At 37.1% G+C, this 16,190-nt stretch overlaps 1 protein-coding gene across 20 annotated transcripts in view; it reads right to left on the bottom strand.

The window, feature by feature from the left end:
• The window catches only part of SOX5 (SRY-box transcription factor 5), a 1,033,147-nt gene that overhangs the window by 927,981 nt on the left and 88,976 nt on the right, over positions 1–16,190 (bottom strand). For 5 of the 20 annotated variants that reach the window (XM_047429461.1, XM_017019892.2, XM_047429457.1 and 2 more), the window contains exon 2: positions 3,112–3,292. The exons of the other annotated variants lie outside the window; for them this stretch is intronic. The gene's annotated coding sequence lies outside the window, so the exon portion shown is untranslated. The remainder of the gene's footprint in view (positions 1–3,111; positions 3,293–16,190) is intronic. 20 annotated transcript variants of the gene reach the window in all.

Below are 16,190 nucleotides of genomic sequence, written 5' to 3' on the forward strand. Positions count from 1 at the left end.
TTATTTGGGCATACAGACACAACATTTTTAGCCTTGTGGGACTGTGTTTTCATAGTAAGATAAGCCTTTGGATAATTTCCCTTTGGGGAAATTCTAGTATTTGTAGTTTTATGAGCACCAATTGTTATACTTTAGTTATAACAAGGCAGCTTCTGGATTCTATAAATAAAAGAATTTCCCAATATCAGACAATTTTTAAATAAATAAACAAAAATGGAAAATAATTTTAATGCAAACTGATTATTGCCTCAAAAGTGAAGGAGCTGTCTCCATTCTTGCATAAACAGAACAATGTTCTATTTATTTCCAACATATAGGATGACTACCACTGGTTTTGAGGGCTATCACTGGTTTTACTTTATAGGCTTAAAAATTAGTGGGCATTATAGATAAGGGAAGATGAGATAAAATGAAATGTAAAATACTAAGAGTGTTCTCTCAACTCAGATTACTATTTTCCATTTTTATTCTATAAGGAAATCAGTTCCTTCCTAAATAGGGATGTGAGGTAAAATACAGGACACTCAAGTAAATATGAATTGCAGGTAAACTATTTTTTTTTTTAGTATAAGTATGTCCCATGCAATATTTGTATTGTGCATGTGAATCACCTGAATATCTTGTTAAAATGCATGTTCTGATTCAGCAAGCCTGGGATGGCGCCTCAGTGTCTGTTTTTTTAAATTTGTTAAATCTGGCAACGTATCCTAAATTATTTTTAAAGGAAGAAACTGCTGAAGAGAATATCATTAAATGTTTATTTGTGGACTAATATTTGACATTAATGCATAAAATGATGAATTGTTTTTTTACTTATATATTTGGTTCAGTGTCTTCTCTAAAAACTCCAGAATGATTGCAAAAATTAAAACCCTGAGTAGACTTTTAAAAATATTATTTATGACATTATCATCTATGGGCATTTTTTTTCTTCATCTTCCAGGGTCCATTCTCTACTCAGTCATGTTCAACGTGAGCTGAACGCCAAAATCAGCTGGAGAGCTTCTTTAAAATCCTGATACCCGGCCACATTCCACTTAATTAAAGACAAATCTCTGGGGGGTAGGATGGGACCCAGATATAGATGTTTTTAATTTTCCCAAGTGATTCTAATTGCAGCCAAGATTGGAAACCTGCCCTTATCCTTACTAAACAAAGTGTGATCTGGGAACCAGCAACATCAGCCTCAGTTAGCAACTTGTTAGTAACACAGAATCTCAGACCCCACCCTAGGCCTTTTGAATCAGAACCTGAATTTTAACAACATCTCCGGGTGATTCATATGCACATTATAATTTGGCAAACACTTCTCTAAATCATTTAGAGATAACAACTAAATGGAGCCATGTTTATGACTTTCACCTTATTAACTGGAATTCTAGAACATTCCAAGATAGTAAAACTTGTGTAGGTAAGTACAATCACTATAGAAGAGACCAAAAGAAATTGTCAGTACTCTCCCACTGCAATCACTTTAGACTTTGAACAGAAATAAGATGAACTACCCAAAAAGACACTGCTGGTATCAATTCTCAAAGGACAGCACACCTGATCCCGACCAAAACTCTATAAGCCAAGAAGTCAACATCCAAATAGGGATGATTGTTTCCGTTCCCCCTCTCCCTAATCCCAACTCCAGTCACTAAAGCTACCTTTCTTACAGAAATATATGCCCCACTTAAGGTCCTTTGTCACGAAGTGCTGGTTTATCTGTGGTGACTTGCTAGTATGTTTTCCAAGCCATGAATTTGCAGGTTTCTTGCGCACGCTCCATCAAGTGATGGAGTGCTGTTTCTGAATGATGGTCCATTCAAAGAAACCTGACAAGGTAACCTAGACACACCAGAATCAAGCATTCACATCAAAGCTCAAAGCTAGGTGCTATGATGTGTAGAGTATCTGGAAGCCTTCCTGTCAACTTGTCTTTCCACATATAACTGGAGTTTTATTTGCAATCAATTTCTTGTGCTAAATAATGTCCCCTGCTTCTCCAGTTAAATATAAGTACGATAATCCTAAGAAGTTATCACATTTATTTTCTTAAATCTTATTGTTGAATTAATTTATCGATTTTTTCAATCTAAAAGGAGAGATGAGTTCTGGGTTCCTGGAGACATTAAGAATCAGGGAAGGGAATAAAGAAAGAAACCGACAGGAGTATACAGGGTACCAAAGGAAAACTGTCTACTGTATCATTTTACTTTCAAATGACCTGTATTAATACCTAAAGATGACACTTCCAATCCATATGAACAAGAATAATGCTTCATACTTGTATAATTATCTTGTATTTTTTCAAATTTATTTGAACTATAAAAGAACTATTTTAGTAGAGAGTGGCCAGCTGCTGAGTTTAAAAAAATATATTTCAGGGAAACATTAAGACATATTAATTTTTAGTTATCGTACATTTTATATCATACCTTACAATACTGTGGAGCTGAAGCAGAGAAAAATTGAGTATGTATAGAGTGAATCTGATGAATAAAGATTTCTGAGCATATTTTCAGTTTTATTATAGTTCACGAAGTGAGCAAGAAAAAATTGTGTCTGCATCAATGTAGTGAAGGAGTTTCTCATCTCCAAAGCCTATCTGTATTGATATCAGAAAAGGGTAGGGGTGCAAAATGACAGCAGCTAGCCTGCCCTTTCACCTTCCTAACAGTGCTGGTGGCAGCAACGAAGCTTAATCAATGCAATGGGAGTGACATTTTGCAGTCAAATCAAATTAAATGGAAATGAAAGGAAAATCTGAGGTCCAACCTAAAGGCTGTCTCTCTTACCACTGAGGTCATCTCCATGGCAACTAAATGCTACAAATGTGTAGAGTAAATCCTTAACAAATCTGCAGAAAGCATGTCCAATTGAATATGATAGTGTCTGTCACTGTATTTTGTAGCTTTCTAAAAGCTTACACTAGAAGTAACAAAAAGGACTTCAGCCAGCAAGTAAGCAGAACAGCACACTTAATCTGACCACTACTAAACGACAGAGATGCTCAACTTCTGAAAGAATAAACTTGAAGTAAGTGAGCAACTTAAAGACAGACCCAGTTAAGTGGATTAGGTTCAAACTACAATGTTTTCCAGAATTGTTTTTACTTGGACTTACTCAGTTTAGAAATCTCCCAGGTCCCTGTAAAAGCATTTTCACATCATGAGGAATAATTTGTATGGGATTACATCAGACCATTCCATTATCTTCTCTCGAGCACTCCCTCGGAGATGCATTTCCCCCTCTTTTTGACGGTGTGTTAAGAGCAGATGGATTTTAGGGTTGTAAGAATGCAGCACTGTAGTGGTAAAAAACAAGAAAGCAGCAGTGGTAACAGCTCCTTTGTGGTAGTTTCCTCCACAGAGACTCTTCCAGAAAAAACCTGAACTCATCCCTGTAATGTTCCCACTTATATGACTGTACCATATGATCAGTCCAAACTGACTTTGGTAACTTAGAATTGGTTTGCTCTTGCAGACCATATTTTGTTGGATAAAGCAAATTCATATCACCAAATATACTTCCCCTATAACTGAATAACCAATAGATTCTTGCTGTCCCCAAACAGCATAAATTGTCACATATTTATGTATGTTTGGCCTGAGATTTGGTTGCCCTCTACTAAGTGACAACACATTTACAGAAGGAACAATAAAGATGAAATTCTATGTATGCTGAGTTTTCGCATTGATACATACTGAATTTGTTGTATAAGCTGTTCAACAAGAAACATTATTTTGTAGGAGGATTTATTGTACTGTTTGACATGTTCCAAGCTGGTCATTTAAGTCAGAAAAGTGGCCACTACGATTCTAGTTTTGAACACAGTGAATTTGGATGTTGCTAGTGATGCTGTTACTGTGCAATATGAAAGATACCAGTGGATCTACACCTTAGACAAGAGAAATGGGAGGATGACAATTGATATGAAGTGATGGTTTTTGCCCAAATGCATAAAACCATGGGTCATCATGTCATTGTATATTATATTCTATCTCTGTTAAAATAGCAATACACACTAATGAATTAACTTCTTAGAAGAAATACCTGCTTTCTGAATGGAGGTAAAAACAACAACATTGTTACCTGAAGATAACAATAGTCCTTTACCATATACAGGCCACATATTATTATCTTTTTTAAGTAGCACTAGTTTACTTTGTCTTGGGTATTATGTCTAGTAATTTTTCAAACTTTATGTAATAATAGTAATAAAACCTAACCTTCATTGAACACTTACTCTGGCAGTTATGATAGCCAAGTAAAATAAAAACCTGTTGTTTTTTGAGACATCTTTCTCTTGAATAGCTTCAATGCTTTAAAGTTTATAATAACTACAAATCAATTTTGTTTCATATTATCATCTCTATAAAATTATACTTCAGTTTAATATAATGGCGTATTCCCTGGTCTTAGAGACTCTAACCCAGCTCAGTTATTAATTAATAGCACTTTGGGTTACATCATTTACCTCCGTCTTCCCAATATTCTCCACCGCAAACTGAAGCTAATTCTACTGGCCATTCTTACCGCACAGGATTATCTGAGGATGCAGTGATACAATGTACAATCATGCATCACTAACAACAGGGATGCATTCTGAGAAAGGCATCATTAGGAAATTTCATCCTTGTGTGAATATCACAGTGTACTTACACAAACCTAGATGATATAGTCTCTTACATACCTAAGCTATATGGCGCAGCCTATTACTCCCAGTCTATAAACCTGTACAGCCTGTTACTGTACTGAATACTGTAGGCAATTGCAACACAATGTCAGGTGTGTATGTAAACATAAATGAACATAGAAAAGGTACAGTAAAAATATAGTATTATAATCTTATGGGACCACCATCCTATATATTCAGTCTTTCCTTGAAGAAAACGTCATTATGCAGTATATGGCTGTATATGGAAGAGCTCTGGAAAGTCTCCAACAATATTCATGATATTATTGTCATGTTATTATATTGAAAAGATTTATTGTTACTCTTTCAGGCAAACTATTTTTGTAATGTCAAGAACAGAGCTAAAGACTCACATTTAAATTCTGATAATATAGTAAGCCTAGGCTAATAGGAAAACTTCAGTTTTCCTACCTCTGCTTCTATAATCCCTAGTAAAAACTAATCTCTTTTGCCAATTCTGTGTATAAAATTTGATTAAAAATATAATGACGTAAATGAACACCCTGCAATTTGCTTTTCTAAAATCCTTACTTGATATCAGGTTATTTCCTTAGGATGTGCTTCTACTCCTAAAGAGTCAAATGTTAGAAGAGAAGAAAATAGTGTTATTTACATTTATGAATGCTGAATTCAGATAAATTTTAATTGTACTAGACTTTGTTGGTAATTTAAATGAGACAATGTATCAAACAGAACTCTCCCCACCTCCTACTTAGAGTGGTTTTCTCCTCTGACTACTGCATTATACATTTCAAGCCTCATTTGTTGGTGGGGTGCAGTGGCTCCTGCCGGTAATCCTAGCACTTTGGGAGGCCAAGGCAGAAGGACTGCTTGAACCCAGGAGTTTGAGACCAGCCTGGGTAACACAGTGAGACTCTGTCTCTACAAAAAAATTTAAAAATTAGCTGGGCATGGTGGTGCATTCTGTAGTCCAGCTACTCAGGCAGGAGGCTCACTTGAGCCCAGGATGTGAGGCTGCAGTGAGCCATGATCATGCCACTTCACTCCAGCCTGGGTGACATAGTGAGACCTTGTTTCAAAAAAAAAGAAAAAAAAAAAGCTTATCTGTTTTCCCTTTAAAATTTTTGCCCTAACTTTATAGAAAGCAACATTTGGGGCAATTGAAGGTATTTTATTAATTACAGAGTCTAAGTTTCAGAATTTCAATTGCTACTCTCTACGTACAGCTAAGTTCGAAAGCAAAGACAGGAAGACCTGCCTTGGATGCTCACAAATCACACACTATCAAGGAAACAGAATGACAAGACCTAAAAGTTACTATGTTGTATTTACTTTGGAAATTGCCATTATAACTGAAATACAGTTTGACAGCCCAGTTTTAAATTTCTAAACGCTTACAGATTTTATCTAACTAATAAACCTGTGGCTTCATAAACCCACAAAGCTCCCGTGATACTATCTTATTTGAAAAGGGGGTGAGCTTGCCAGGTGTAAGGAAGCAGATGCGATCTACGGATTGGTGAACGGCAAAATGCCTATCTATTTTCAGAGATTATAGGGAGAGCACTGGTGCCATTGGTTAAGATAGCAAATTGATTTCTTCAATAAACTAGTGCTCTCATTCACTCGCCACAATTTTCTAAAATTGCCCTTTTGATCTGAAGCTTCCAATCCTGGTCAGACGTAATTTTTTATTTTGGAACACTGACATCTATACTCTTGAGCTATCTTTTCCTTACATGACCAGAAACACAAACCTTTCTCTCCTCATTCACTCCACTGAAATTGAAGACTTCTCTTTGAATTGGCTTCCATGTTTATTGGCTTTATTTAGCAAAATAAACAAAATTTTTAACAACTAATCTAAAATTTCCTAAGTTTAAAACTTCGCTGACAAATAGGGGTTACCTACTGAGCGGTCGTCTATTAATTAGGGACTACTCTAGATAGGATGTTTAAATTTTTAGCTTCCCTCTGATGGAATTTGGAATCTGTACCCTGGGAAATAATGGAAAATTAGTATTTGCAAAAATATACCTAAGTATGTGTGTTTATGTATGTTTATATGATGTGTGCATGTAAGTATGTGTACACTCACCTACACACACACAAACACTGATATTCAGTGTTTTGAAATGTGAAGCTTGTGTTTGTAGTTTTCTCTTTCACTACCACTACTTCTAGTGAGAGTTAATTTTTTTTTTTTTTTTTGAGACGGAGTCTCACTCTGTCACCCAGGCTGAAGTGCAGTGGCACGATCTCGGCTCACTGCAAGCTCCGCCTCCAGGGTTCACGCCGCCTCCCGGGTTCACGCTATTCTCCTGCCTCAGCCTCCCGAGTAGCTGGGACTACAGGTGCCCACCACCACGCCCAGCTAATTTTTTTGTATTTTTAGTAGAGATGGAGTTTCACCGTGTTAGCCAGGATGTTCTCAATCTCCTGACCTTGTGATCCACCCGCCTCGGCCTCCCAAAGTGCTGGGATTACAGGCGTGAGCCACCGCACCCGGTCTTGAGAGTTAATGTTTTTTGAGAAGTTACTATGTGCACGCACTCTTCTAATCACTTTACATGTATTAATAAAAATCCTATGAGATAGAAACTAATAGTAGCCCCACTTTCCAGATGAGGAAACTCAGGTATAAAGAGTTTAAATCATTTGTCCAAGCCCTACAGTTATTACATAGTAAGAAGGGCTAGTAATGTAGGCACTTTCAAAGGAAACCATGTTAACATGATCACTGTAATAAGGAGTATGGAAAAGCTCCTTTTCTGACTTTCTAGTTGAGTAGGCATTTAGGTTGTAGAACTCCACCAACAAGTCCAGGATAGCTGCAGAAGCAGCAGTAATGATAGTGATGCTGAGAGAATGGATGGTGATAGTGCTCATCGGGATGATGACAGAGATGATGACAATGATGTTATCTACCATTGAGTACCATGTGCCAGTAATTGTGTGAAGGGCTTTATCTCTCATTTCATGTTACACAACTCTGTGAGGCAGGTACTACCTTCATCTTTCTCTCACGGATGGGAAAACTGAAGTTCAGATGAACTGAACAGCTGACCCAAAACCACACAACTAATAAATGACATAGAGAGAATTAAACACAAACTCTCCAACTGCAGTACTATCATTCCTAATCGTTACAATGTTTTGCCTTCAAATTAATCATAATAGCGAACATTTACTGAGCGTTTATTACATTGTTCCAAGTGCCTTTACACATTATTTTCTCAACTACAACTATGAAGTAAGTTGTATTATATGCAATTTAAGAGATGCATTTATTCATTCAATCAGCCATTTTATTAAGCAGTCCAGGTTCTGTTTTGGATGCTGAAAATTGAAGAGTGAGGAAAAACAGACTTTGTTCTTGCTTTCGTAGTGCTTGCAAACAAATGAGAAACTGAAGTCAGAGGGGGAGTGGTCACCTGAGAAAGTCACAAAGCAGGTAACGGACACATATGAGACCTGGATACAGGCAGCCTGCAAATTTTGTATCTTTTCATCACATCTGTATGACAGTCTCAGAAGTGAAGGAAAACCTAGGCAAACAATTCAACTGCAAAGTGAAATTATATTAGTCAGGGGCCAAATGAATTTAGAATACAGATCAATGTGGTAAATGGCACTCAAACTTCTGGTAAAAACAGGTAGTTGTTGACGGCAAATCATTCATGGTCCACCATCCCAACCCCACAGAGGCTCCAGAGGGCTTTCGGGAGAACCTGCAATATCTAACACTATTGCAGACACGAGGGCTGTCACAGCACTTCCCCATAGATGGGAAACACTCCCTTACATTACTTTCTACCACCTTCGTCTACTAATAATACTATGATTTATAGTAACATTTACACTAATAATACTACCCTAATTATCCCACACTGCAGGAAAGGGTTTTTTAAGACTTAAATCTTTTTCCATCTTTTCCATACCTTGAGAGGGTAGAAGAAAAAAATAAGAAAGAGAAAGAGGGAGAGAGGAAAAGAGGGAGAATGAAGAATATGGTCAGTAATGAACAGATCTGAGAAAGCCCTCAGTACTCCAACATTCCTCCTCCTCATCTTCTTTTCTTCCTCTTCCTTCTTCCTTCTTTCTTCTTCTTTTCTTTCTTTTTTTTTTTAAGAGACAGAATCTTGCTGTATAGCCCAGGCTGCTGGAGTGCAGTGGCACAGTTATAGCTCATAACAGCTTTGAACTCCTGGACTCAAGTGTTCCTCCCACCTCAGCCTCTCAAAGTGCTGGGATTATAGACACGAGCCACTGCACTTGGCCCCAGAATTCTGTAAATAAACGTTTTGGAACTACCCTTCCCACTTGAAATTCTCATTAATTATAAGTCATCTTGGTCCTCCATGGATATTGGCACAGACACAGGTTTGTAGAACACATACTAGTTAGTTTCTATTTAGGGGTCCAGACAGCCTCGAGGTAGCCCACTAGTTGGCATGGAGTAGAAGTAGACGCTGTGGCCCAATATGGCCAGATGTTTCCCAAACCAAACATTATGCATTAGATCCTTTCCTGTTGCAACAAATAGCAGGCAGTTAATTCACCCCCAAGACAAGCTCCCATTCTAGCTAGACATCATGATTACCCATGACATTTTTCAAAAAACAGTTTGTGGGCTCCTACACCAAACCTATGAAATCAAATGTTTGAGAATGGACTCCAAGAAATTTATAATTTTTAAAGCTCCCCAGGTAATCTGATGCATAATCAGATGGAATCTCTGCTCTGGAGTAAGTGACAGTGCTGGTTTTCCCACAAGCCAAAAGAAAATGCATCTCATCTTTAAAGAGCACCAAAACAATTCAGTCCATTTTTAAATGCATTCTGTTTCCTAAAACCACCAGAAAAGTCTTACTTTCTCCACTTAATTCTCTCATATGTAATTTAAATGCATTCCCTTTCTTTATCTGTCTCCTCAGCAAAGATAAAGAGCTGGCCTTCACTCTCTACTGAAGAAATATACACAGGTACATTTAAGGTCTGACAGTAAATCATATCCTAACCTGAAACTCCAAAAGCAAAAGTATTAATACCATCAGATACTTCCATTCATTTATTTGCTCATTCATTCAACAAGCATTTCTTAAGCACCAGCTCTGTGTCAATCCCTGTGAGAGCCAGGAGGTATTTGGTGAGAAACATATTAGCCCAATATTTGAGCAGTTCATAACTTAATGAGAAAGAGAGACAGAAACCAATGAATGCAATTCAGTGCACGTTACAATGGAGCTACACACAGCGTGCAATGGGAAATGACTTCCTGGAAAATATGTTGCTTAAGGTGAATCTTAAAGAAAAATAGGAGTTAGTCAGGCCAAGAAAGGAGGAAGGAAACTGTGGGCAGACAACAAAATGTTTGCAAATGCATGGAAGCAGAGAAAAAAAAATTGGTACGTGCAGGAACCACAAATAATGCATCCTTTATGGAAAAGTTTTGTTGTGGCAGGAAAGGGAAAAGACAAGCTTAGGATCAGATCATAATGGTCTCTTACACCACATAGGGGTGTTTAGATTTTTTCCCGGATATGATGGAGAGCCACTGAACAATTTTAATTGGAAGAGATATATGGTCAGATTTATATTTTGGAAAAGTCTCACCAACAGAGTGTCCAAGTTTGTCCTGGGGGGTGGATAAACTGCCTGCTATTTGGAGCAACATGAAGGGACCTAGTGTATAACGTTCAGTTTTGAAAATGTCTGGCCATATGAAGCAACAGCATCTGCTTTTACTCCATGCCAACTAGTGGGCTACTTCATGGCTGTCTGGACCCCTAAGTAGAAACTAACTAGTCTGTGTTCTACAAATCTCTGTCTATGCCAATATCCTTGGAGGACCAAGATAACATAATTAGAATTTCAAGTGGAAATGGGCAACGCTGTAGGCAAAAGACACTGGAGTAACTGAGATCATAACAACTGGGAGATGAGGAAGCAGATTTTACTGGTGTTTAAGAGCTTGAGTTGTCAGGACTTGGTGACTGATTAGATGGAGCGGGTGAAAGGCACAAAACATCATGGGCCTTCCAGGGTTCTGGAACGAGGTAGGGAGTGTACTGGATTTCAGCATGGGCTCCATGCCAGGTTGCTTGGAATCAAAGCCTCGTTCTGCCACTTTCTTGATATGTTAATTTGGATAAGTTATTTAATCTCTCTGGGTATCTGCTTCCTTATCTGTAAAATGGGGATGTAACAGTGGTGTACCTGCCTTGTAAGGTCATTGGAGAATTAAATTAGTTCATGTACAGCATGTAAAGTATATAGAACAGAGCTCAGAGCATAATAAATACTATGGTAGTGCTAGGTTTTATAGATGTGACTATCTACTGGGATTCATTGATTTCCTAGGCTTGGCCCCAAATACTGGAAATGTATAAGATTGATCCCAGACCTCAGAAAATTCAGCACTTTCCCACATGCACTCAGGTTAGAGGGGTTTAGTCAAACACCGCCCCACAAAGCAATTCTTGAGGTAAACTTTCCCATTCCCATTCTTACTGTTTTTATTCTTGTATGTCTAGTCTCACGGTGCTTAAATTTTTTACTATATGTCTGTGGTCTCTGATTTGTAGCATTAAATGTTTTATGTTTAAATATTCATATTTCTTTTCCCATGTTTCCATTATTTTCTAATCTTCAAGGAGTCTAATGATGTTTTTTAAAAAAAGAAATACTATTTTTACATCAACAGTCACCATGCCTGGCCTATTTCCATCTTAACTTTTGTAATCTAAACCAGCAGTATCCAACCTTTTTGGCACCAGCGACAGGTTTCATGGAAGACAATGTTTCCACAGACCAGGGTGGAAGGATGGTTTGAGGATGATTCAAGAGCATTACAATTATGGCGCACTTTATTTCCACTATTATCACATTGTAATATATAATGAAATAATTATACAACTAGCCATAATGTGGAATCAGTGGGAGCTCTGATCTTGTTTTTCTGCAACTAGGCGGTCCCATCTGGGTGTGATGGGAGATACTGACGGATCATCAGGCATTAGATTCTCGTAAGGAATGTGCAACCTAGATCCCTCACATACACAGTTTACAGTAGGGTCCAGGTTCCTATGAGACTTTAACGTCACAGCTGATCTGACAGGAGGTGGAGCTCAGATGGTAATGCAAGCGATGGGGAGCGGCTTGCTCACCCACCACTCACCTCCTGCTGCGTGGCCAAGTTCCTAACAGACCACGGACCAGTACCGGGTGTTGGGGACCTGATCTAAACTTTCCTTCTTTTCCTCTGCCTTGGTTCCTGATTCATATTTTAGGGTTCTCCATTTGGCTGCTCCTTTTTCTACAGCTCTTTATTTACGGGTTGGGTTTCTCTCCCTTTTGTATCTATGTTCTATATTCACGACTTCCTAATACTTTTATTTAACTCATGCCTTTAGATATTCCATTGTACAAAAACAGAGAGAACCACTTTCTATGACGCCCCAGGCTAGCTCATTATGATAACGTTAAAACAAAACAAAAATCCCCAGATATGTGCAACTTATGAGTAGATATCTATTCTCTGTGGAATGAAGAAATCTGGTTTTATTTTGTAAAGCTCACTTTGTGGGTGCTCGAAAAACTATACTAAGCTTTAAATTACCATACTGGGTATCCACAGGGGAGGATGAATGCTGCATACCAAAAACCCTTTCCTCCACTAAGCTTACTGATTACAATTGGAGTTTCCTCAAATGAGCTTGTTTGATAATTTGTCTCATTACTACTGAAAAGGAAATGAAAATCAAGGACTTGAGGGCTGGAAGCGGTAAGCAAATATGATCAAAGGTTATATTGTATGAGATGTTGGTTTCATGAAAAACAAAAAAAGAAAGACCAGTGTCATATCAAGTAATGTATATATATTATAAACTTTTAAACTATTAATTAAGCTAGTGCATGCTAATATTACAAGCCATAGAAAGTAACTGTACGTGAATAATCTTAAAGCATCAAGTACAGATGTCTTTAAATGCAAACCAAAGTACAGATGATGTAGAAAACCAACCCTGAGTGCCATTTATTACTTTCCTACTAATTCTAGGTTTAGAATGTACTTTGAATTTGATTGCCCAATTACCCACATCTATATTATATCATCTCGAAGCATCATTACGACATCAGCCTCAATCTTGTGGGAAGGACCATAAACAAAGGCCAGTTGGCTAAAGATAGATCATTACTGACACATCCACAATAAGGGAGGTAACTAGGAGTAATGAGTATAATCAAGAGAAGTAAATTTAGGCTAAATACCAAGAAAGAATGTTCAACGGTGAGGACAGATTAAGGCAGGAACCTTCCAAGATAAGTGATAAAGATCACGGAAACACTTAAATCCATGATGAACAGCTTTTCATTCATAAGGGTGTTTGATCAAGGATTCCAAACAGTGAGAGAACTAGAAAGGGGCTGGGGGGTGGGCAGGGAAACACTCTCATTTTCATTTGGGAAAATTAGACAACTAGTGTGACTGCGATTTCCTTACAAAACAAGAAATGTGCTTTCCAAATCAGTCCCTTACAATGAGTATTAGAAAACAGTGTTGTGGAAAGTACTTGGACTCAGAATATTCTGTGTTCAAATCTCACTCCCATTATTTACCAGGTGAGTAAACTTTAGCAAGATAGCTAACCTTTCCAAACCTCAGTTTCCTCAACTGAAAAATGAGTATAGGAAAGTCTGGCTTGCAGGGTTACTATGAAGTTTAAACATGGTAACATATAAATGAATCCAAGGGTTAATCATCAAGCACAGAATACTGCCTGGAATACCGTAAATATTTAATAAATGGTAGCGATTGTTATTATTAGATTTTAACTTTAACTTTCATGAAGCATTTTGATCCATTACCATTCACAAATAAGATAATATTTTTCTTCAAAATAATCAGTAAGTCTCATTGCTGCTTTGCGGATTATCATGCTTTTAAATCCAAAAATTTTCCAGACATCTTGCAAAGTGAGGTTAAGATAGTTGCTATTTTAGGCATTAATTCATAAAGTTTCTACACATCCTTAGAGTTGGGTTATTTGCCTCCTCACACTCTTGTATCCCCTTCTTTCCTTTTAAATATAAAGAATAAATTATGAATTTTAAACTTTAGTTAACCAGAATGTTAAAGAACTGGGATGTTCTGGTAAATCATATTCTAATTTAATTTTTCTAACCACCTAAGTAGAAATTTATTATTGTCTAAATACTCAATATAAAAAACATGTTAACACATGCTATTAGGACTTTCTGCATTGGAAGTCACATATCATGAATGTAATCTAACCTTTCTGTAAAGATGACAGTGCCCCATCACCATTATCCTGAGCATTAATTATCATTGTAAAATACTGTAGATGATAAAGATGTATGAGATTAAGTTACCTCATACTGACCCATTCTCTTGAAGTTGTTTTAAATTAAATAAATACCTAGAATCTACTTGTGTCTTCTAAATGTTAAATGAGGATGGGGGAGGAGCAGGGGCTGATAATTTAAGATGTTTCTAAAGGTCTGGTAGGTTGACAACTTAATAAAAAAGAAATGTTAGGTGTGTTACTAATGGAGCAAGTAAGCATACTTTGTACTCCAACTTATAAAATCATAAATGAACCAATTAAATGAAAATGGTGTAGCTTTCACACATCAGTTACGTTATCAAAAAAGTTTTTCAATAAGTTTATGCACTTTTAATCAGCAACAGCCTTAGTCAGTTGAAAAAAAAAAAGAACTCTGATGCATTCAGAGCCTATAGATCTAAACCAGACAAAACAAAGCCTCATAAATGTGTTTGTTCATTAATTTTTAAAAAGCCAGACTTTGAGTTGTTATCATGTCAACTGGCACCAAACCATACTCAATTTAGTGCAACTACAAAGTGGAACCCATAGTCTACAATGGCAGCGTTTTTGATCACACTAATTAACAACCATTTTGTTTAAAATAAACAGATATGAGTCTAATTGCCTTTTTTACATAAGAAAGGGAAGATCTTAAAAGTAAAAACATGCACAAGAAAGATCAGACAAATGCCACTCAGACAGATAAGCAAAGTGTGTGTGAAAGGAACCCAGAGGAAGTCTGGGTTCTCACTGGGATTGACAGCCCAATGGAGCAAAGGGAATTAGTGGCTCAGAAAGGTTAAAGGGAATCCAGAGGTGCAAGACCTGTAACTACCTATCCTTTCATCTTTTCCCCTCACAAGGGGATTGTACCTCAGTGTGTAATGTGATAGGCAGTAGCAGGCCTGATACTCCTAATTAGGAGAGAACCTCTTATTACAGACAAATCATTCCTTCCACCTTAGCATGCATTGCCAGAAGAGGATGTTCAAAGATAAAACTGTGGACTGGTTCTCTAAGTCCCAGATGCTTTACTTCAATTTTGTGAACAAAGAATGAGCCCCTAGATCACTGGCCTGTGTTTTCTAAGGCCCCCAAATGGTTAACATAAGTTGAATTGTACTTGGGTCCATAGACTCTATTTTGATTTAAAAACCAACAGCTAACTGTGTGCATGCTGAATTTTTCATCTTTCTAGCCTGTAAAATCAATTCCTGAGGACACTCAGAGAAGCCTTCAGTTGCCAGAGCTATCAATAAGAACATTATCAGACATACTACCTTATGTTAATTAACAAATAATATGCTAACTAATATGCTATACATATACTGTATGTTATCTAGGATGTAAAGTAAGCCATGAACTACATAAACATAATTTTAAAACAATACCTATTGTGTTACCTGTGGTGATCTATTTTAATGTATAGCCAATATAATCAGCTTGTCACTCATTCTGCAGTACAAAATATCAACAATCTATGAAATAATAATTTAAAAATCATTTATCTGATTTTAACCTCTACAAATAATTTTTCCCCTTTGGTTATTTGTAGTACATTGACTACTCAAAAACATTACTCTTTGTATTAATCTTTATATCCCCTGTTCCTAGAGTAGTACCAAGCAGAGAGAGAGCTTTCCAAAGTGTCTGAGGGAGTCCGTTTTAAAACTAAGCAAATATGATCAGCATAAATTTTTATCTACACTCATAAGCTTGAAGCTGAAACCAACGCTGTACTGGTAAATGTTTAGCAATCAACTCTCTCCAAGAGGAAAAAAAAAAGCTCTCATATGTAGTGTTTGCAAATTTCATGGTGAGATGCCCAAGATGGCAGATTTCAAGCTACCCTGCCCCCATGAAGTCACTGAACAGAGTTGGGAGGAGATGTGGGCAAGTGGCTCACGGGAGCGGGTGCAAGCCCACAGAAGCCAGCTCTCATGCCACTTGTGGAAACTCAAAACCCTTTTAAAGTACAACACAAATTCCCAACAATAGAATTTAAGTTGACTCTGGTGTTTTCAACTATCTCCATTTGTGAAACTTCACTATTTAAATTTAAATATTTGAATCTGTTGTCTTCAGATCTGACAGAACTTTGAAAATGTTTTTAGGTTTTTTTGCTCCAGATCAAACAACCAAAACATATAGTTCAATTGCTGTTGAACAAATTCAAATAACACTCATTGTAA

Source organism: Homo sapiens, chromosome 12, assembly GCF_000001405.40.
Source record: "Homo sapiens chromosome 12, GRCh38.p14 Primary Assembly".
NCBI classification, from domain to species: domain Eukaryota; kingdom Metazoa; phylum Chordata; class Mammalia; order Primates; family Hominidae; genus Homo; species Homo sapiens.